This window comes from Homo sapiens, chromosome 2, assembly GCF_000001405.40.
Source record: "Homo sapiens chromosome 2, GRCh38.p14 Primary Assembly".
In the NCBI taxonomy this organism is placed as follows: domain Eukaryota; kingdom Metazoa; phylum Chordata; class Mammalia; order Primates; family Hominidae; genus Homo; species Homo sapiens.
Window position 1 is genome coordinate 138667115 of NC_000002.12, and position 21795 is coordinate 138688909.

Here is a 21795-nt window from a genome sequence, read left to right on the forward strand (position 1 = left end):
CATTTCTCTGGAGAATGCTAATATACTATACACTTTACCAGGTGCTGTGGAGGACACAAAAGAGTTAACTCATTATTTTAGATAATAGATTAAGTACTACAGATGCACCTCAATACACGGGGTTACATCCTGATAAACCCATTGTACGTTGAAAATCCTAAATTAAAAATGCATTTAATACACCTAATCTACCGATCATCATAGGTCAGCCTAGCCTACCTTTAATGTGCTCAGACACATCAGCCTATAACTGGGTAAAATAATCTAACTCAAAGCCTATTTTATAATAATGTGGTGAATATTTCATGTCATTTATTGAATACTTCACTGAAAGTGAAAAACAGAATGGTTGTACGAGTACTCAAAATGCTGTTTCTACTGAATGCGTATGGCTGTTGCAACATCGTAAAGTCGAAAAATTGTAAGTTGAACCATTGTATATCAGGGACTGTCTGTATTTATGGGACAGCTGAGTTGAATGTAGAGAAGGGAAGTTTTAAAATGAAGCAGAATGGGTTGTGTTCCCAGGATTCCAGACCTCAGAATATGGGGTAGGAGATTGGGGTGAAGATGAAATGATCTTTGAGTATCATCTACAAGACTTTCCTGAAGGAAAAATAATCTCTAATATGAACTTGTTATCCTGATTTGTCTCTTGCAATTGGCAATATTAAATTGTCATTCATTAAGAGTTCTGATTAATCAACATTGAGTTAACTTTAGTTTCCCCGCAAGTAAGAATGCATGACTCCATCCTCTACATTTTACAGGCCAGTTAATTAATTTAAAATTCTTTATGAGGTGAAATCAAACCTTTAGGCAATCAAGATATTCCCCAAAACATACCAATTCCTATGAAAATATATTCTCAGGTGCCATAATCACCTGAAAACTGCCCAATGTAGTGTTCTACTGCTGTTAATTCTTAGCCAGTCATATTGCTAATGTATTCCAGGACTCCTATCTTTGGATATAAGGATTTATCCTGACTTACTTTTCTGTAGTTGCAGTTTTTAAAAAATTTGTGATCATAGATAAATTATTATCCTAAATATTTTAGGGGGAGGTTATTTTCACCGTTTTCAGGTTCAGTTTTGGCTACTGGGTCCTGTCTTGTTATAAACTCATTGCAATTATTTTTGTTGTCTTGAATACCTGCTTCAATTTACCTTTCTTATGTAACGCAAGAGCTGGGACTAGGAGTCAGGAGAAATGCATTTCAGTTGGGTTTGCCATTTACTAGTGGGCACATCATTACCCTCATGGGGACTTGGGTTTTCCTGTCTGTCAAAAAAGAGGATTAAGAAGGTAGTGTAGGCTGCACTCTCTTTGAAATATTACTCTTCTATATGTTAATATGTCTATACGTTTAAAAGTTCTGTTGCTTTAGTTTTTAAACAGTTTGTGACTGAGTGCAAAATTAGCTTCCATGAATATCCTTTTCCTCAATAGCAGTACTAAAGGGCAAAAAATAGTTTTGTAGAAATGTGTGTATTTGCATGCTTAAGTGGGCTCTGATTTATATTGTGCCAAGTACCATTACTGACAATTAGGTATGCTTTGAAATGAAATTATGACTTAGAAATATATGTGGCATATATTCTACTCCAACTTACAAACGAGCTTATGGGAAACTTTTAAAAAATTCCACAAACGCTGCTAACATCTAAGAACTGTATAAATCAATTTACAGTTTTTTTTTTGTTTTTTTTTTTTGCATAGAAATAATGTTCACATCTCTCAACTTTGGAACATCAGATAGTTTTAAACCTCATTACTTCACGTCAAAACAATAATAATCATAATGGCAGCTCACAAGTAGAGTTCTTTCTTACTAGATGCCATGCTATGTACAAAATGTTTTATGTGAGTTATTCTTTTGCCCTACTTTAAAATCTCCACAGCCAAGATGCCTATTTAACATGTATCTAAGGGAAACCTTCTTGTTCAATTGGTATCACACACACACACATGCACAGAATAAGCCCTTGTGAGGAAAAGAAACAAGGAGAACAGAGTCTTTAAAAAATAACCACCCAGGATTAATGTGACAGATCTAGCAAATTCTTTTTATTTACATAAAATGTGTACACATACTTTCTCTGTACACAGAAAATTCTAAGTATATATATATAGATATATGATTCCCACATATTTTACAATAAATAATATTTTACTCTTGTTTCTAGGTGAAAATAAAAAGATGTTTCAAAATATTAATCACCAACCACAAAATTACAAAAACATGTGGTGAACTCAGAGCAAGAACTTCAAGCCTGTACTACCACACACTAAGCTTAGTACAATTTTTACAAAAGACAAAAATTGAACACTGCAGATATTACCGGTAAAAGGAAAGAAATGAAGATAGAGAACAGAGCTCTTGGTTTTTTGAACAGTGTGGTAAGAGTATTTCTTGTTGTTTAGGACTTCTCTTCCTTTAGTCCTCAATTTAATGTTTTACTTTAATTAATATTTTACAGATAAGAAGGGAGAAAGAAGTTAACATCTATTGTAAAAGGAGTGACCATTCCATGAGCGTCCTGAGTTCTAGAAGCCTTTTTCTTGGCCAACCAGACCCCTGTTTCTGTTCTAATTTAATGATCATTCAGTTCTACCATATAGGACTGCTATTCACCCCCACAGGGAAGATGAGAAGGGCACTGACTGTGAAGTGACATTAATTTGAAAGTCATTTCAAAAGTCTGGTAAGCCAGGTATCTTGGTTGTCAGCACTTAATAATTAGAAATGTTTAAATATAACTCTCTATTTCCACATAGAGTTTGATCTCTTATTCAAATATTAACTAAATGCAAGGGGAACTTAATCTGGGAGGCTAGAAATAATGAATCCATAATCCTGAAATTTCCTCCCTCTACTTCCCACTTTTGTTTTCTATTCTAGTCTAGGAAACAAGCACTTTCACTCAACTTCAGAGCTGTTCTACACATGTGTAAAGAATCACACTATCGAATGAATTGAATAAAGCTCTAAGCTATAGGATGCATACAAATTTTGTCATTTTTTGATTAATTCCACAGCATTTGAATTTATCAGAAGAGTCTAAAAACATCATGATTTTTGTTATCGTTCAACAAACTTATTCTCAGATTTGCTTTCCCATTACATCAGTATTCAAACTCAGGGGGAATCATAAGAATGGTGACCAACACAGGGCTAAGTGCTCAAATCACATTCCACGCAACTGTAGCTCAGATGATAAGGAACTTGGTTCCACTGTGGCACTGTAACTTCACACATGAATTTTGAAACAAATTTTACCTTTTTTTCTCTCATATCAATAACAGCACAGATGGATGGGGGAAAAGATAGAAATATAAAAAAAAGGGTCCAATGTCAAAAACACAATTCATCTATCAAATACAATCTTTTCCTTTACCGCATCTGCTGTTTCTGCGGTAACCTTCCAAAACATATTTCAAAGGCAGGCTCATTTCAAGAGCAATGTTTGTCACATGCATAATTTTGTTCCTTCTTGTCACATATTGCTATCATTGATGTTTCTTTCAGAGAAACAATAAGATTTCTAGAACTTAGTCATCTTGCATGAAAGTGATGGTTTCATAAACAGTTTAACTTTTTAGATAAAGGTACCTACGATAGAAAGAAACAAATTTCACACTTAAAGATGTCTCTTTTTCTTTTTTTAAATTTGAAAACCTGATAGGGAACTATTGTTCACTGCCAGAAACAAAAGGGATCCTTTATCATAAAGAGCTGGGCTTGTTTCTTTGTCATTCTAATCAAATACATATGTATCCCTCATTTCCACCACAGCAGGAAGATCAGCCAGAAGATAAGTATGGGGTCTCACTATGGTAATTGTAGTCAGGGCACACCTTTTGCACGAGTTTATAATCAACACTGTAAAAGGCAATGTAAATGCAAATGACCTTGAAGGGCTTGGAGCACAACCAAGACACATGGCTCTGAGTCTGCTCCTGGTAGCAGATCTTGGATGGGTCAAAGTTGCACAGGGCGGTCTTTTTCGCCCGATCTGTTTTTTCATACTCAATGCGACAATTGAAAGATTTGGATTCCTTGGTCTCCAAGGTAGACTGGGGGGAAACTTCAAATTCCACCACCTTGGAGGGTGGTACCAAGCTCACTGAAACATTGCCCAGGCCTGTTGAATTATGTCGGAAATACACACTGAAGGTTCCATTTCCATGGTCAACAATTTTCCCTGTGATGAGGAGATTGAGTTTGACAGTTTTAATGTTGGAATGAAAGTCACCCCATCCAAACATTTTCTTAAATTTTCCTGTTTTTACTATTGGCCTCCGTTTAGTTCTTGCCAATGGCTCCTGAATCTCCGTGATGTTGGCCAGCCAATCCCAAAAGTTTTCCATGCTGTCTGCGTACGCCATGGGGCCGGGCTTGGGCACCGGAGACTGTTTAACAAACAGGCGCAGGGGACTGATGATCCTTGAGTGCACCACGTTGCCGACCAACGTCCCTGGAGCATCTTTGTCTTCCCAATCCAGCCCCTCCGTGGCATGCACCACTTCCTTACTGTCACAAAATAGCTGTTTGAAAAGAAGAAAGAGAAATAAACTTTAGGTTAGTGCCGTGACTGCGCACTCAAACTGAAGTCAAAGCGCAAGGGAAATTATTTCAACATTGTTTAGATTCTTGTTCGACAGCATTTCACACACACAGCCGGGCTCAACAGTGTAACAAGATAAGCATTTAATTCAAGCAATGGAAAACTGCGAGTATGAAAATTAAAAATGGTGAGGTTAAGAACAAAGTATTTCATTTTAATGGGTTGATGTGATTTTAGTCTCTGTTTCCTGATCTTCACAATTCTATTTTTCCAGATTGGGGGAAGTAGTATATTTTGACTTCTCATTTGATATAATCATTAAATTGTCAACTCTTTTCTTTCAGGTGGAAGACAAAAATAGAGTGCTGAAGTATCTACAAAGGAGCTAAAAACTGTCAATGATATTGATAAGTCTTAAGTATATTTGGAAATATTAAGGGGATTATTACATTCAAAGGCTTATAACATGTAATTTCATAGCTCTTTATATAATTCCATCTCAAACTCTGTAACAAAAAAGCATGTGATGAGGATTAGAAAGTTCTACAAAAAGTTTTAGTTGAAAAAATAGAAGTAAAAATTTAGTTGCCTTTATAAAAACAGAAAGTAATGTAGAGAGGTATATTTTGAATTAATAGGTTATATATGAGTTAATAAATTTTATTACAACTGAATTATATCCTAAAATAATTGCTAAGAAACTGTCATGTGCATTGTTTTATGGGTTCCTCAGTATTTTGGTTCAAATCATAGCCACCGAAACGTAAGACTTTATTTGCATTTGATTTTTCTTTTTATTCTTTGTATAGTGTAAGAGTCCCCATGTTTACTAAAAATAATTTAGTTAAGTAGATATGGATTTTGAGGGACAGGATCACTGTATATGATGCTGTTGCATGGAGTGAATATTTATGGATGATTTATAAAAAGTCTGGAAAATAGAGGTTTCTAGTGGAAACACAGCCTCTTATCTCTAATGGCACAAACCACTCTTGTAATGATTCTACAGAAAACTGTCAGCACGATGAAATGGATGAGGAAAGAAGTGAGGCTGTGTTTATGTACTTTCTCTAGCCCTTTCAAACTTGGCAAAACACTTGGTAAAAATGGTTTCAGATTATTCCCAAAATTATTGCTTTCAATCCAATTTTGAAAATAAATGAGAGACGTAGCCTGGATTATAAATACTGCATTTGACTAGACGGTATAGTTTGATAACACGAGGTTATCTATTGTATGTTCATAAAAGTTTAGAAGCTTAAATCCTAACAGGGCTTTGTGAAAAGTGTTTCCACCTATGTCTAGTCCCCAAATCACTTTAAGAATTCAAGGACTCAAAATGTATAGATAGGTTTCTTTAAAATTATTTTTTGCTTTGGTAAGGATGGGAAGGTGCTACAACATATACTTCTCTCTTTGGTTAATTTCTTGGAAGATTTTCTTCCGCATTCCTGGAGTTTTAAAAAATTCAGAACAAATTGGTATGATGCATATTCTTACATTTTGAGAACCTAAATCCATATGGCCTCTTCTTAGGGGCTTATACACCCTGAATTGATACTCCTTTCTCTCTCCTGGTGTTGAAAGGCTGGCAGATTCCCCAGGGAAAGAGGGATCATTACTCTGGATTTCTGGCTCAAAGTATTTCTGATACTGTAACTACAGCTTTCTGATTTTGCACACTTTTTTCTCTCTTATTGGTATATAATATTTTACATATTTATGGGGGTACACGTGAGTATTTGATACATGCATAAAATGTGTAATGATTAAGTCAGAGTATTTAGGGTATACATCATCTCGAATATTTATCACTACTATGTATTGGGAACATTTCAAGTCCTCCCTTCAAACTACTTTAAAATATACAACACGTTGTTGCTAACTATAGTATAGTCACCCTACAATGCTTTTGAACATCAGAACTTGTTTTATTTTATTTAAAAAAATGGGATTAATTTTTTTTTTTTTTTGGTAGAGATGGGGTCTCAGTTTGATGCCCAGGTGGTCTCAAGCTGCTGGCCTCAAGTGATCCTCCTGCCTCATCCTCCCTAAGTGTTGGGATTACAGGTATGAGTCACCATGCCTGGACTAGAACTTATTTCTTCCATCTAACTGTGTTTGTACTCATCCATCAATCTCTCTTCATTTCCCCCACCCCACCCTCAAATGCTTCCCAACCTTTGGTACTATCAAAATTCTCTATTTCTATGAGATCAAGTTTTTTAGCTCTTACATATGGGTGAGAATATGTGTCTGTCTTATTTCACTTAACATAATGACTTCCAGTTCCTTGAATACTATTTATTTATTTTTAGAGACAGGATATCACTCTGTCACCCAGGCTGGAGGCATAATCATAGCTCACTGCAACCTCAAACTCCTGGGCTCAAGTGATTCTCCCTCCTCAGCCTCCAGAATAGCTAGGAATACAGGTGCACACTACCATGCCTGGCTAATTTTCTTTTTTTTCTTTTTCTTTTTTTTTAATACAGTCTTGTTCTATCACCCAGGCTGGAGTGGAGTGGTGCAATCTCAGCTTACTACAATCTCCACCTCCAGGGTTTAAGAAATTCTTGCACATCAGCCTCCCGAGTAGCTGTGATTACAGGCATGCGCCACCATGCCTGACTAGTTTTTGTGTTTTTAGTGGAGACAGGGTCTCACCATGTTGGCCAGGCTGGTCTCAAACTCCTGGCCTCAAGTGATCTGCCTGCCTTGGCCTCCCAAAATGTCAGGATTACAGGTGTGAGCCACTGCTCGGCTTAATTTTTTATTTTTATACAGATGAGGTCTTGTTATGTTGCCCAGGCTGGTCTTGAACTCCAGCCTCAAGTGATCCTCCTACCTTGGCCTCTCAAAGTGTTGGGATTACAGGAGCGAACCATCATGTCCAGTCCCTTGAATACTCTTACTCATGATGTGTGCAAACTTCATTCCAATCATTTGGTAATAGCCCATGGAGCTCAACACCCAGACTCTGCTTCTGACTTGAGTTTCCTGAGAATGGAGACAGCCTGGTCCAAGTGACCTGTCCCAGCATCTCTCCAGAAAGAGGGCCAAGGATGCATGGGCAGATAAGAAGCTCTTGCTAATCAAGGTCCAATTTCTCTTCTGTGATCATGATTCTTGCTGCCCATAGTCTACTACCTATTTTTCACCTGTTTCCAGTATTTAATGAGATTCACCCTGCTTGGTAAATGCTTGCAGACACACCTACCATTTGCGGAACATCTGGTTTACAAGAAGTGCTCCCTTACTTCCCAATCTCTATTCCCTGATTTGGTACAGCTTCTGAACTTCTTCCCTCACTCCCACCTTCCTTCTCCTGTTTCATGGGATAGAGCCCTTCTGACATTTTCCCTTTTAAGCTTGCTTTTAAAAATATGTCTTGATTCTTACCTTTATATATCATAATATCAATTGCTTTATTACAAATACCATGACACTTTATCAGCAGAACTAAAATACATTTTTCATTCAAAAGTATTTTTTCAACCACAAGTATAAAAATATTCTTTTATCAGCAGCAATATGCCCTCTTTTTCTTTAAAGTGCTTGTTTAATGTTATATGTTTCCCTAAATTTTTTTCTGCCTGGTTCATTTTTCTTGTTTTAGTGCTTTGCCCAATTTTCTCCTCACTTTCACATTACTGATAAACTCATAAAAATTGAGCCCATCATTCAACAATCAGTAAGTTTTGCAATCATGTAGTCTTAGCTGATCTTGGTGCACTTTCAAATACATGATAGACACTGATACCTTAAGAGATCCTTCTCTTATCACTAGTACTTCCATTGTGATGGTTCTGAGATTACTCAATAATAATAATAATAGTAATAATAATAGCAATAGGACATTACTGAGATATTTTCAAAGATCTGAAAACTTTCCTGATAGCAGTTTATGTTGTAAGAGAACATGAACCAAATATATGTGACTCTCTTTAAAAAAATGAAAGCAGAAAACATTCTAAGCTTTCAAACAGATAAATTGAGTGTCATTATTTGCTTTTACAAAAGTTGTTTTATTCTTTGGAAAAGGTTCCCTATATGAGAATTTGAAATGAAATTAGATTTCTAAAAAAAAATCATTCTAACACACTACTGTTGAGGTCCAAACCTGTTCAAAGAGCCCTTGATTTTAAGATTAGTCAATGTAATAAAAAGTAATAAAATTTAGCTAATAGCAAAGATATATAATGTTTCTCTCTTCCAGTGACAGCATTCACTGGCAGTACCTTAGGTAAAAAGTACATATATATACATATGTGTGTGTGTGTGTGTGTGTGTGTGTGTATAAATCTATATAAAAGCACTTTTTTTTAAAATTTGGCTTTCCTTAGCACATCATATTTCTAGCTTGTTTTGACAACAACATTAGCCAAGTTGGTAAAACTGTGTACAACCTCATCCGTTTATTACTTTAAAATACACGTACAGTTCTCACAAGTGCTGACTTCCAAATCTAAACCCAAATCTCAAAAAGCTATCTGACAGTGGTTTACTGGTAGAAGAATATAATGTAAAGGGCAAATATATTTCTCTATGTCTTTAAACAGATGACAATTTTATCTCCCCTCCCAACTTTCAGCCTTGGTGTAACTTGTTCAGCCTTCCTCTTGTTATTAATCATCACTTTATAACATCACTGTTGAGAGCTCAGGCACCCTTTTCTACACCAGGTCTACCTAGATGGTTATATGACCTAAGTCCCCAGTCCACATGCTCAACATGAAGACCTAATCAGAAGACTGGAGGCTGATGAGCCACAACCCTTCCCACCTCCCCACTGCTTACCCATGTATTCCCAATAGGGAAGCAGCCTGATATGATGTTTCCATCATATCAGAGCACAGGATTTATTGCCTAATGCCATTGTCACCCCTTGCTCAAGTGTGTGACATGAACCTCAGTTTTCTCACCTACATCTCCTTTGCTGTTTGGCTGTAAGGACTAAAAGAATGGACGGAAATTACTGGGCCTATTAAGGCATTCGATGACTGATGGCTCTTCCATGGTCCAATGGATAATCTCATGCCTCCTACTCAAGAAGTGTCTCCAAAGGTTTCTATGAATTCTCAAGCCTCCAGGAAACTGATTAATGGTTAATTGAGCAACTTGTTCAGTGCCATGTGATAAATTAATGACCAAGTAGAAATCAACCCACTCAACCCCAGAACATCAATCAAATGTTTCCCTATGTTTCTAGTCTTACTGGCATCTGAGTCACATCCAAATCCCAGGTGAGCTCTCTTTGCCAACAAAATGTGTTTGTAGATCTTTGATTCCAATCTACTACATGAATCAGCAAAGGGAGCTGAGAATATAAAGTGTCTGGCAGGTGCCCTCATTCCTGAACAGACAATTTCTGTGATACAACATGCTGTGAGAAGAATGTAGGTGGCTCTGAATCTGTTGGTAATCCACTCTGTCCAAGGCAAGATTGTTAAATGTTATTTACAAAACACGTAGCTGTATATTCCTGGTTACTTTTGTATTTGCTGGGGCTCTTCGGGCTAATTTCAGTATCCCTGCTGTCTTTTCCCCCATCATATTATAATAATAATGCAAAAACATTTAACCTCAAGCATAAAATGGAGTTTTACAAAGGGGAAGAAAGAAAAATTGCTGTGCTTTATCTGTTTGAACATTCCTTGATTTCAACACATTTATCAAAGCTTAAGTAATTTATGTCTTGGCAGGGTGTATCAATTTCACAAAGCACACACATTAGCTAGATACAATGATATCATATTAGCTTTTTCTGCGTCTTACAGAAGAGCTCAAAAAGATTAATAAATGCAGAAGCCTTCATCAATTAAATGAAGCAGGTGGAAGGAAGGGAGTAGAAGAATAAGACTGTATTTCATTTTGGTTCTTTTGTTTTTAGGGGGGAAAAGCTGACAGGTTCAAATCATTCATCATAACAAGCTAAAGTTGAATTTTACTGATAATTAAATGCATTTTTTCCCAAGAGGCAGAGAAGCTGCAATGAATTTTATAGTAGCAGATGTGAGACCTGTCACAAATTATGGAAATAATTTATAAACTAAAAAGCATCTTCCTCTGCAAACATTATATCAGAAGAGACTTTTTAAACTGTATTCGCTATATATTTTTTAATAAACATTTTTATTTTGGAATAATTTTAGTTTACAGAAAAGCTGCATAATACAGAGTTCCCATAGACCCTGCACCCAGACACTGCACTCGGTATCCCCTACCGTTAACATCTAACACTATAGTATATTTGCCACAACTATTAAACCAATATTGATACATTATTACTAACTAAAGTCCATACTTTAATTGGATCTTCTTAGTTTTTCTTTAATGTCTTTTATTTGCTCCAGCATCCTGTGCAGGATCCCACATTAAATTTGGTCATCACCAATCCTTAGGTTACAAAGATTCTCAACTTGTCTTGGTTACAAGTTTCTCTGACTTTCCTTGTTTTGGATGAACTTAAATGTTTTCTGAAGTACCTGGCAGATATTTTGTAGAATACCCTTCAATTTTGCTTTATTCTATATTTTTCTCATGATTACGCTAGGGTTAGGGGTTTTGAGGAGGAAATACACAGAGGTAAAGTGCGGCTTTCATCACTCCCTCTCAAGGGTAAATGTTAAGCAACTTGTCACTGTGACGTGCCACTGTAATGTTAATCTGGATCTGGCTGAGGTAGAGCAAATGTATCTTTTTAAGGTTTTGCTTTCAGAATTCTCATAAGGGTTGCAGACTGTTGTTATTATAACCTTAGTTGAAATTACCTTTAATTCCGTGGCACTTGGTTTAGGATTTTTTTTTTTTAAGTCAGGAACTCCAAAATTTCAATTTATAACTCTTTACAGTATCACTGAATTATCTAAAATAACCTCAGAGTTGTTTAGGAATTTACAGACTATTTCTAAATTATCCTGGCAATTTTACATGTTGTTAATGTGTCTGTCATCACCATTATTCATATTGCTATTTTATTTTTATTTAATATTAATTCCCTAAAAATTGTACCCACTTTGATAGTTGATAGCTCTATAAAAAAGAGCTTATTCTATGAATATCTTATACAGAATTAGAATTACTTGCTGACTACATTAGAATCAAATATCCCTTCTCAGTTTAGGAGCCTGCCCATTTTACTTTATTCTACACATCCAGTGAGAAAGGATCAGTCTTTAGGTGCGGCTTTCTTTGTAGGTCAACTTGTTTATCAAAGGGAAGGGAGCTAATGAAAGAAAACATCACTAAGGATGATTCTATATGTAGTGCTCTGGGTGGTGCAGGGACACAAACGCTACTTGGTTTCCTCTGGGTTCTATGACAGTCAGATATTTTCCACGTTTATAGGATAACGCTTTCCTACAGGTTCATCATTGTGATAGCTCCGCTTCTTCTCCGGAGCTACATGTTGGGTTGAATCCTGAACCGCAAAGGGAAGAGATTTCTCCACACTCACTGAATAACGAAAACTAAACAAAAAGCATTTAAAACTTTGAGCTTCTGGGGTTCAACTTCCATTTAATGTAAATCATGCCTTTATCAGAACAGTCCTAATAGGTGGTACTTTTGTTACTTACAGATACACTAAGAGAAGAGATATTGCCACCACCCTTGCTGTCCTAGGCCAGTGTTTAGCAAGTCTAAATGACAAGTTTATTAGCACATATTGACTCTTCACCTACGTGGCAGCGGGGGAGTAGGAGAGGCCTGAATTTTTTTTTTTTTTTTTTGAGACGGAGTCTCGCTCGGTTGCTCAGGCTGGAGTGCAGTGGCGCGATCTCGGCTCACTGCAAGCTCCACCTCCCGGGTTCACGCCATTCTCCTGCCTCAGACTCCCGAGTAGCTGGGTTTACAGGCATTCGCCACCACGCCCGGCTAATTTTGTATTTTTACTAGAGACGAGGTTTCTCCATGTTGTTCATGCTGGTCTCAAACTCCAGACCTCAGGTGATCCACCCGCCTCTGCCTCCCAAAGTGTTGGGATTACAGGCGTGAGCCACTGCGCCGGGCCGAGGCCTGAATATATGCCCTTTCTGACTCAGCAAGAAGAGACTAGGTGACATTAACACACCCTATTTAAGAAAATGGAAAGCGTAAATCAGTTTAGAAATATTTCCACAAAAATACTATTTTATTTTTGCAGGATTAAGTTTATTGCTTCACTGATTTTGCCTATACCTGCAATCACAGGAATATTATTGTATTCTAACATTGTACTGGCTAATCATTGGACTGAGAAGAAAAAGTGGAGTGTCCCAATCAAATCAGTGCATTGCAGAAAAAGATCTGTCACTGCGTCCTCCAGTGGCTGAATTTACCCAATCAGAAAAATTGTCCCAAGAGCAAAGAAATGAATAAGAAAAGGAGGGGCAATGAAGTCAATCAGGACAAGCAGGGAAGAGCAAGAGACAGGAACAGAAGTGCTTTGATTTATTAGAAGGATTTGGCATCAGGAGCATAAAAATGGTTAATGGGTGCTGTAACTTAACCATCCCAGCACACTGTGCAAGCCACATTCCCTCTCTGAGCTTGGTTTTCTTAATAGTAAAATGGTGAAAAGCACAAGATATGGTTGCACTTCAAAGAGATGAAGGAGGCTGCAAAGTGGAAAGTGAATTAGAGTGAGGCTTGTCTACAGGTAGGAATACTTGTAAGGAGGTGAATACTGCACCCCAGAGAAGTGAGGAGACCCTCAACCAGGTTCACAAATGTATGAGTTCATTTTTTTAAACACTTATTTGACACACACTTTTCAAACACATTTCAGGAGCCCACATTTGTGCTGTAGGCACTGAGAGTACACTGCTGAGCAGGACAGACACAGGTCCTGTCTTCAGACAATTTGCAGACAGCAAGGGGGTGAAGCAATTCACCTAGTCATAGTTCTCATAAGGTCCCATCTCTTGTTCTCTCTCTCTCTATATATATATACATCTCGGTATATCAGAAGGTGGAAATGCTAATCCTAATTAAGGGAACAGGGTAAGCAACAGGGCAGGGAGTGAACAGAACTAAACAATTAATATCTTTATTTGGATGAGTGAAATGAAATCCAGGACTTACTGGCTGATAGTTGATAAACAATGAATTTGTGACAAGAAAACCAATTGATCTTGGAATTTATACTCCTTTGTATCTGGTTCCAAATTGTATATTGATTTGTTTATAATTACTAATGAGAGTGTGATAACATTGTTAAGACAACAGTTATATTTTTTTCCCAGTGAAAGGCTAACTTGGTGACTATTTTCATGACCATAAACAGGCTCCGATGTTCAGTCTTTGCTGAATTCCTGACTTGCAGCTACCAGCTACAGAGCTTGGAAGTGATGACCTCAGCAGGCCTGGCCTTTCACCTTTCTACCTCCAAAGAGCTTTTGAAGGTGCATAAGATGCAGTCTTGGGTTCTGAGACAGTTAACCCTTTGTCATGATTATGCTATAGCCCTCTTCTATATAATCAATATAATATGTATTAGTGCTACTTGATAATTAGGTAACTATGGATTAAAAAGAATACTCTGAAACAATATAGAGTTGTCTTTATGTTTATAGGTGTGTTAAAAATATGCTAACAGAAAATAAATGTAGGTAACACCCATAGTTTTCACAGGGATTACTGATTGTTCTAAATGGAAGGCAAAGCAAAACAACCTAATTTCCCCCCATAATCATAAAATTGAAGAGGCATCTATACTTTAAGAGAATGTTTTCAGATTTCTGTGTTTATACTCAATATAAAGTGTTATGTCTTTACTGGTTTAATATGAAGCACTTGCTATAACATATATAATACACAATGCATAGATTGCATAGATCACCTACCACTAAGAAGGAATGTTGTAACTATTTTATAGTACACCAAAAATATGTAGTCCTCTACTTATCAAAGAAGAAAATTTTGACTTTCCAGGACTAAGCTGAATGAGCTGAATACTCCAAATGTGTGGATTTGCAGCAAGCCGGGAGAGAAAGTTGGCTTTTCCTTGATAACAGGACTGGCATATTCTACTAGAGAAAATTTCATACAGATCAGTACAAATATTTTTTTAAAGGCAGCTGGCTTTTCGGTCTTGGATACCCTATAAGTATTTATTATTGTTGTTTCAGAATGATGACCATTGCTAAGTGCAAGTTTGGAAGAATAAGTGGTTTTCTGAATGGACTTGTTCATGGTGTTGTTAACGATGGGATCTATATTGGTGGTCATTAATGATTTCACTGGGGTTATTAATTTAAGCCAAGAACCCCAAAGTGACCGCTATTATACAATCTAGAGGTGGCTTACAGATCCCTTTACAGTTGAAGAATTATAGAACCAATAATAAAAGGTGGTTCAAAGCCTCATTTGAGTTGCTTACATATAGCTTACATAGTTAGATTGCTTTGACAGTACTGTCCTATATCCTGCAGCTAAAACTAAAATGACAAGTTGCTCAGCAGAAAGAACAACAGAAAAAAACCCAAAACCCTGTCATGATCAATTTTATCGGCATCCCATTTGAATATAACAAACAAAATATATAATTAATGATCAAATTCAGCATACCATTAAATTTATTGCTTGTAAACAAATCTTGGAAAGCATTTCTCTGGGTAGAAATTTTGCAGAATGTCATCCCTGCTGACAAAACAGGAACATGCATCTGCCGGACAGCATACAATGCTGTATTGATGATTAGTAGTATGGCTTGCCCTAGAGTCATATTTCTGGTGCTCCATTACAGAACTGTCACAGTAGATTAAAAGAAGAATGACAAAAAAAGAATGAAAAATGATAGAATCAAACATATATCAATGTACTAATTGTACCTATTAATATTTTGTGGCATAATGTGGCATTGTTCCAAAATTCATTTTGTAAGTTGAAAAACAAATGATTGCTTAGGAGAAGAAAGCTAAACAGTGGACATCCTTTCTGCTGAGAGTGGCAAATTCATTTTACCTTCCAGATATCTTTTAATAGCTACCCTTTACGTTATTCTAAATTGATACAGGAACTAACAGGAAACATAAATGTGAAGACAGAAATCTTAGCAGTAAGAGCCAAAAAACCTAGATTGCAATGCTTGGCAGTAGTTTTATTGCTAAGGTTAAATATGGCAATTCTTATTTTATCTTGATGACAGTAATCTGAAAAATCAGTGACACCAACCTCTGCAAAAAATTCAGTACACACACACATGCATGCACGCATGCCTACACACTCTAGACACACAGAAATATCATGTATGCATGCACATACCATAGTTCTCTGTAAATATTTAGGAGGATAGTGTCAAAGAAAACTTAGATTTTATTTTGTATTAGAAAGCTGAATTAACAGAGCTCTTTAACAAATTATGAACGGGCTGGAAACAAATGTTAAAGATGCTTTGTTGGAAGGGGCTGCTAAATATGATATGGCTGTGTGTCCTGAGTTAAAAATGGTCAGATCACAGTCTCAATACAAGTTTTGCGAAGTCAAACAAGGTATTCTTTTGATAATCTAGTAGACTGAAATACTGCTTTTGTTGCTAAGGAGTAAGTGACTCAGCATGGCAAGTGGCACTGTCTACTTTCATCATTCAAGTTTTCAATGAGAGACATGAGCTTCACATGATGGGAACACATATATACTTCTGAAATATAATGGCCTGGGAGAGACAACATGAATCTATGTCTTGACCGCTAAAAGTTGGCATTTAAAAAGGAAAGTTGCAATGGAGGGAAGAACAGTCAAGTGAGGAATAGTAATGCCAGATTATTCTATTTCCATGCCATTTTCGGCAGAGTTTCAGTGAGGGATGAGGAGACGTATACAGGGGAGGAAGAAGACACACGCGGTGTGGGTTTGGAAAAGTGACTTTGTGTATGCTTTGTATTTTACTATCAAATCCATTTAATATTTCGGTCTTCAGGTACCATTAATTTGGCAATTAGCACATACTCACTGTGATGGTGAGTTTTATGTGTCCATTTGGCTAGGCTACAGTATCCAGTTAACCAAACACTAATTTAGGTGTTACCATGAAGGGATTTTGTAGATATGATTTGTATCTACAATCAGTCCACTTTTTGCTGTTGTTGTGTTTGTTCATGATGTTAGCATTAATTTATTGGTTACATTCTTTCACCAAACATGACATTTGTTAATTTAAAATAAATTTTCCAACTTTCTTAGATACATAGTACAGTATTTCACTTAAATGTAAATATTCACAGTGTATTGGGGATTTTTACAAGATCCTACATAAATATGCTACTTCATTATGATCCAATATAAATATGTTTTTAAGTTCAGTGACAGTTTACAAACTATAAAATATCTATCAACTGAAAATATAAATGCCTATTACTTGTGCATTTGAAACTGATAATTGTGTTAAAAGTATTTTTGCAATAATCATTCCTGACATTTCTAATGAGAATTACAGAGCCTTCACAAATAACCTCATTTGATTCTTACATCTACTTTATGAGGTATGTAGGGCAGGAAATAGCCTTAGAGAGGTTAAGTGGCTTGTCCAAGGTCCAAGTATTGAGAGGCAGCAATAAACCTAGGAATCTGGTCTTTGTATAAGGCCATTGTACTTTCTATAGTAATACTCTAATGAGACTCAACACCAAAAACAAACAAAACAAAACAAAAAGTCAAATAACAAAAAAACCTGATTAATATATTTGCCTTATAAATAAAAAACAATTTTTCTCATTATAAAGTAAAAAGTTTATTCTAGAAAATGAAACTAAGAAAACAGAAAAATTAAAGTCTGATAACTGTTAACATTTTAATATTTAATTCATATTTTCTATCTGTAATATAAATGATCCATATTTTATATATAATCTTTATTTTTAAGAACAATATACAGTATTTAGTTGCATAATAGGTCAAATGCTCTGGAAAAAAGATCTTGCAATCACTACAAGTAAAATCTAAATCCAAATCAGGGTCAATTTTATCTAGACCTCCCTAAATCCTGGATGACACTTTCCTGTTTCAGCATTTGCCATCCAAGTCCAGACCAGAAGGAACTGGGACTGTTCCGGGCAGGAGCAAGCTCATTGTCCTCTGGACTTGCTGGGGTGGCTGCCCTGCCCTCTTAGCCCAAGAGTCCCCTTTACATCCATGGATCTGCCCTCAGAGTCATGCTCCCTTCATTTCTTCCCTTCTCTGTCCCTATCAGTCCAGGCTGGCAATATTACTGGCAGTATAAAATTTTCAAAACTTTTTCAGTCTCCTGTGAAATTCATGGGAGTTTAACCCATCAACAAGAGGGCTTTCCACACATCTTCACTGGATATCTGCATCTCTATTCCTGGTCTCTGCTGAGATGACAGATTGCATCCATGTGTCTTTGGCAAAAGTTGCCCAGCCACATCTTTGGTGTTTTCTCCAGACCAATCAGTTGATTTTAAGTTAAAAAGGTTATTCTTGATTATTGGGGTTGGCCTTATTCAATCAGCTAGAATGCCTTAAAAGCAAAACTGAGGTTTCCTTGAAAAAGATGAAATTGTGCCTCAAGATGGCAGCATCAACTCCTGCCCAAGAATTCCCAGCTTGCTGATCTGCCTATGGATTTTGAACTTGTCAATCCCTATAATCATGTGAGCCAATTCCTTGAAATACAGCTCTTGAGATATCTACCTCTCTATCTTACTGTTTCTGTATCTCTGGAGAGCCTGTTTGATTTTAATAGATATGCTCATGTGTAAATATCTTACTTTCATTAACTCAGTTATGCCTGTTGCTTTCTTGTATCCTCCACAGAACCTAGTTATAGATTCACCTTGACTTACCATGGGGTTATGTCCCAATAAACTCAATTTAAGTTGAAGATATCATAAATTGAAAATGCATTTAATACGCTTAACCTACTGATCGTCATAGCTTAGCCTAATCTACCTTAAATGTGCTCAGAACTCTTACTTTAGTTGGGCAACTATAGTTGGGCAAAATCCTCTCACACAAAGCTCATTTTATAATAAAGTGTTGAATATCTTATGTAATTTATTGATGTTCTACTAAATGCTTATTGCTTTCATAACACTACAAAGTTGAAAAATCTTAAGTTGAACCAAAGTAAGCTGGGGACAATCTATATAAGGTTACTTGATGGTGACTTAATCACAGGTTTGGACTTAGGGCCAAGTGTCTCTCCATGCTGCTCCCAGAGTAAACCATCAAAGTATAGGTCACCATGCTTGTCACACTGTTTATTATTATCATTTTTGTTTTTTGACTTGGTTCTTCCTCTTGTATATTCCTTGATGGCTGCTACTTGATCTTATTCATCGTATGTCTCTAGCCCCTCTTATGATGTCTGATTTACAATAAGTACCTAACAAAAATTGAAAAAATAAATCTGACTGGAAGTGTGTAACTGCCTGGACCTCTCACAACTTTTTATTTCCTTAGACCACTTTGGGAAATGTTTTAAATCCTAATTAAAACTTAATCAATAAAGCAGTCAACCAGGAAATATAATGGAAATGAGGGGCGTCTTTCCTGGCATCTGGAATTATTTGTTAAGGAGATAAAAATCAAAGCCTTTTCTACTTCTCTGGTGATCTCCTAGTGGGGTCTTCTTTCTCTTCTCTCCCACCAGCAACCTCTTCCCGTATCTGTCTCAGAAGTCCTGGAAAAGGTTCAACAGGACTGTCCTGGAATTAAGAGATGATTCAGACCACAGGAAGAGGCACTGTCTCTCTCTTGCCATCATTTCATGTTAAGCTCCACCCATTAGGAATTAGGCCCAGTAAATTTTCTAAAATGCAAATTTAGCTGTGAGATGTCTTTTTTTTTGTCTTTCAAAAAAAGCTACTTTATTGAGGTATGATTGATGCACAAAAAGTTGTAGAAATTGTTATTTATTTATTTTATTTTATTTTTTTATTATACTTTAAGTTCTAGGGTACATGTGCACAACGTGCAAGTTTGTTACATATGTATACATGTGCCATGTTGGTGTGCTGCACCCATTAACTCGTCATTTACATTAGGTATATCTCCTAATGCTATCCCTCCCCACTCCTCCCACCCCACAACAGGCCCCAGTGTGTGATGTTCCCCTTCCTGTGTCCGTGTGTTCTCATTGTTCAATTCCCACCTATGAGTGAGAATATGCGGTGTTTGTTTTTTTTGTCCTTGCAATAGTGTGCTGAGAATGATGGTTTCCAGCTTCATCCATGTCCCTACAAAGGACATGAACTCATCCTTTTTTATGGCTGCATAGTATTCCATGGTGTATATGTGCCACATTTTCTTAATCCAGTCTATCATTGATGGACATTTGGGTTGGTTCCAAGTCTTTGCTATTGTGAATAGTGCCGCAATAAACATATGTGTGCATGTGTCTTTATAGCAGCATGATTTATAATTTTTTGGGTATATACCCAGTAATGGGATGGCTGGGTCAAATGGTATTTCTAGTTCTAGATCCTTGAGGAATCGCCACACTGTCTTCCACAATGGTTGAACTAGTTTACAGTCCCACCAACAGTGTAAAAATGTTCCTATTTCTCCACATCCTCTCCAGCACCTGTTGTTTCCTGACTTTTTAATGTTTGCCATTCTAACTGGTGTGAGATGGTATCTCATTGTGGTTTTGATTTGCATTTCTCTGATGGCCAGTGATGATGAGCATTTTTTCATGTGTCTTTTGGCTGCATAAATGTCTTCTTTTGAGAAGTGTCTGTTCATATACTTCACCGTCTTTTTGATGGGGTTGTTTTTTTTCTTGTAAATTTGTTTGAGTTCTTTGTAGATTCTGGATATTAGCCCTTTGTCAGATGAGTAGATTGCAAAAATTTTCTCCCATTCTGTAGGTTGCCTGTTCACTCTGATGGTAGTTTCTTTTGCTGTGCAGAAGCTGTTTAGTGTAATTAGATCCCATTTGTCAATTTTGGCTTTTGTTTCTATTGCTTTTGGTGTTTTAGACATGAAGTCCTTGCCCATGCCTAGAAAACTCTAGGTTTTCTTATAGGGTTTTATGGCTTTAGGTCTAACATTTAAGTCTTTAATCCATTTTGAATTAATTTTTGTATAAGGTGTAAGGAAGGGATCAAGTTTCAGCTTTCTACATATGGCTAGCCAGTTTTCCCAGCACCATTTATTAAATAGGGAATCCTTTCCTTATTTCTTGTTTTTGTCAGGTTTGTCAAAGATCAGATGGTTGTAGATGTGTGGTATTATTTCTGAGGGCTCTGTTCTGTTCCATTGGTCTATATCTCTGTTTTGGTACTAGTACCATGCTGTTCTGGTTACTGTAGCCTTGTAGTATAGTTTGAAGTCAGGTAGTGTGATGCCTCCAGCTTTGTTCTTTTGGCTTAGGATTGACTTGGCAATGCGGGCCCTTTTTTGGTTCCATGTGAACTTTAAAGTAGTTTTTTCCAATTCTGTGAAGAAAGTCGTTGGTAGCTTGATGGGGATGGCATTGAATCTATAAGTTACCTTGGGCAGTATGGCCATTTTCACGATATTGATTCTTCCTATCCATGAGCATGGAATGTTATTCCATTTGTTTGTGTTGGAGATGGAGTCTTGCTCTGTTGCCCAGCCTGGAGTGCAACGGCACAATCTCAGGTCACTGCAACCTCCGCCTTCCGGGTTCAAGCCATTCTCCTGCCTCAGCCTCCTGAATAGCTGGGATTACAGGCACGTGCCACCACGCCTAACTTTTTGTATTTTTTAGTAGATATGGGGTTTCACTGTGTTGCCCAGGCTGGTCTTGAACTCCTGAGCTCAAGCAATCCACCTGCCTCAACCTCCGAATGTGCTAGGATTACAGGTGTGAGCCACCATGCTCGGATGAGGCATCTTTTTTTAAAGTCTTTACCTAGCTCCCTGTTACCTAGAGCAGTGGTTACAAACTCAGCAGTGGGACCCTTTCTCCACTAAAGTACACTTTTGTAGAATTCCATTATATACAAAAGATACCAGTACCATTTATTAATGCATTATATATGAGTTCAGATGTGTAACAACTATTATTGAAAGCTTCATGAATGACAGCAATAAGGATCTTATGACAAAAATGAAACTTGAAATCAGAAGTTACAGATGATCATTGCAGTCATATCAGCTTCAAAACAGTTCATGGCAGCATTTCATACATAAAGTGTCTCTTGACATCCTGATAGACTTGGTCACCACCGCCCCCCCAACCCCCGGCCGAAACTGCCTTTATACTCCTATAGTAGCACCTGAACTGGTTTGTGTCCTTTCACTAGGCTGAACT

At 36.9% G+C, this 21795-nt stretch overlaps 1 protein-coding gene across 1 annotated transcript in view, besides 1 other annotated feature; it reads right to left on the minus strand.

Moving 5' to 3' along the window:
* Nucleotides 1-2042: 2042 nt before the first annotated feature.
* NXPH2 (neurexophilin 2) overlaps nt 2043-21795 on the minus strand; it is a 111234-nt gene continuing 91481 nt past the window's right edge. The window contains exon 2 of the mRNA NM_007226.3: nt 2043-4551. Coding sequence (NP_009157.1) covers nt 3808-4551 — 744 coding nt within the window. The 3' untranslated portion in view covers nt 2043-3807. The remainder of the gene's footprint in view (nt 4552-21795) is intronic.
* Nucleotides 3521-4244: an enhancer, noted in NCBI's record as "OCT4-NANOG-H3K27ac-H3K4me1 hESC enhancer chr2:139428205-139428928 (GRCh37/hg19 assembly coordinates)". NCBI's record gives its function as "activates a minimal SCP1, AML or CMV promoter by ChIP-STARR-seq in naive H9 embryonic stem cells {active_cell/tissue: H9 hESC(naive)}" and the evidence as "EXISTENCE:reporter gene assay evidence [ECO:0000049][PMID:30033119]".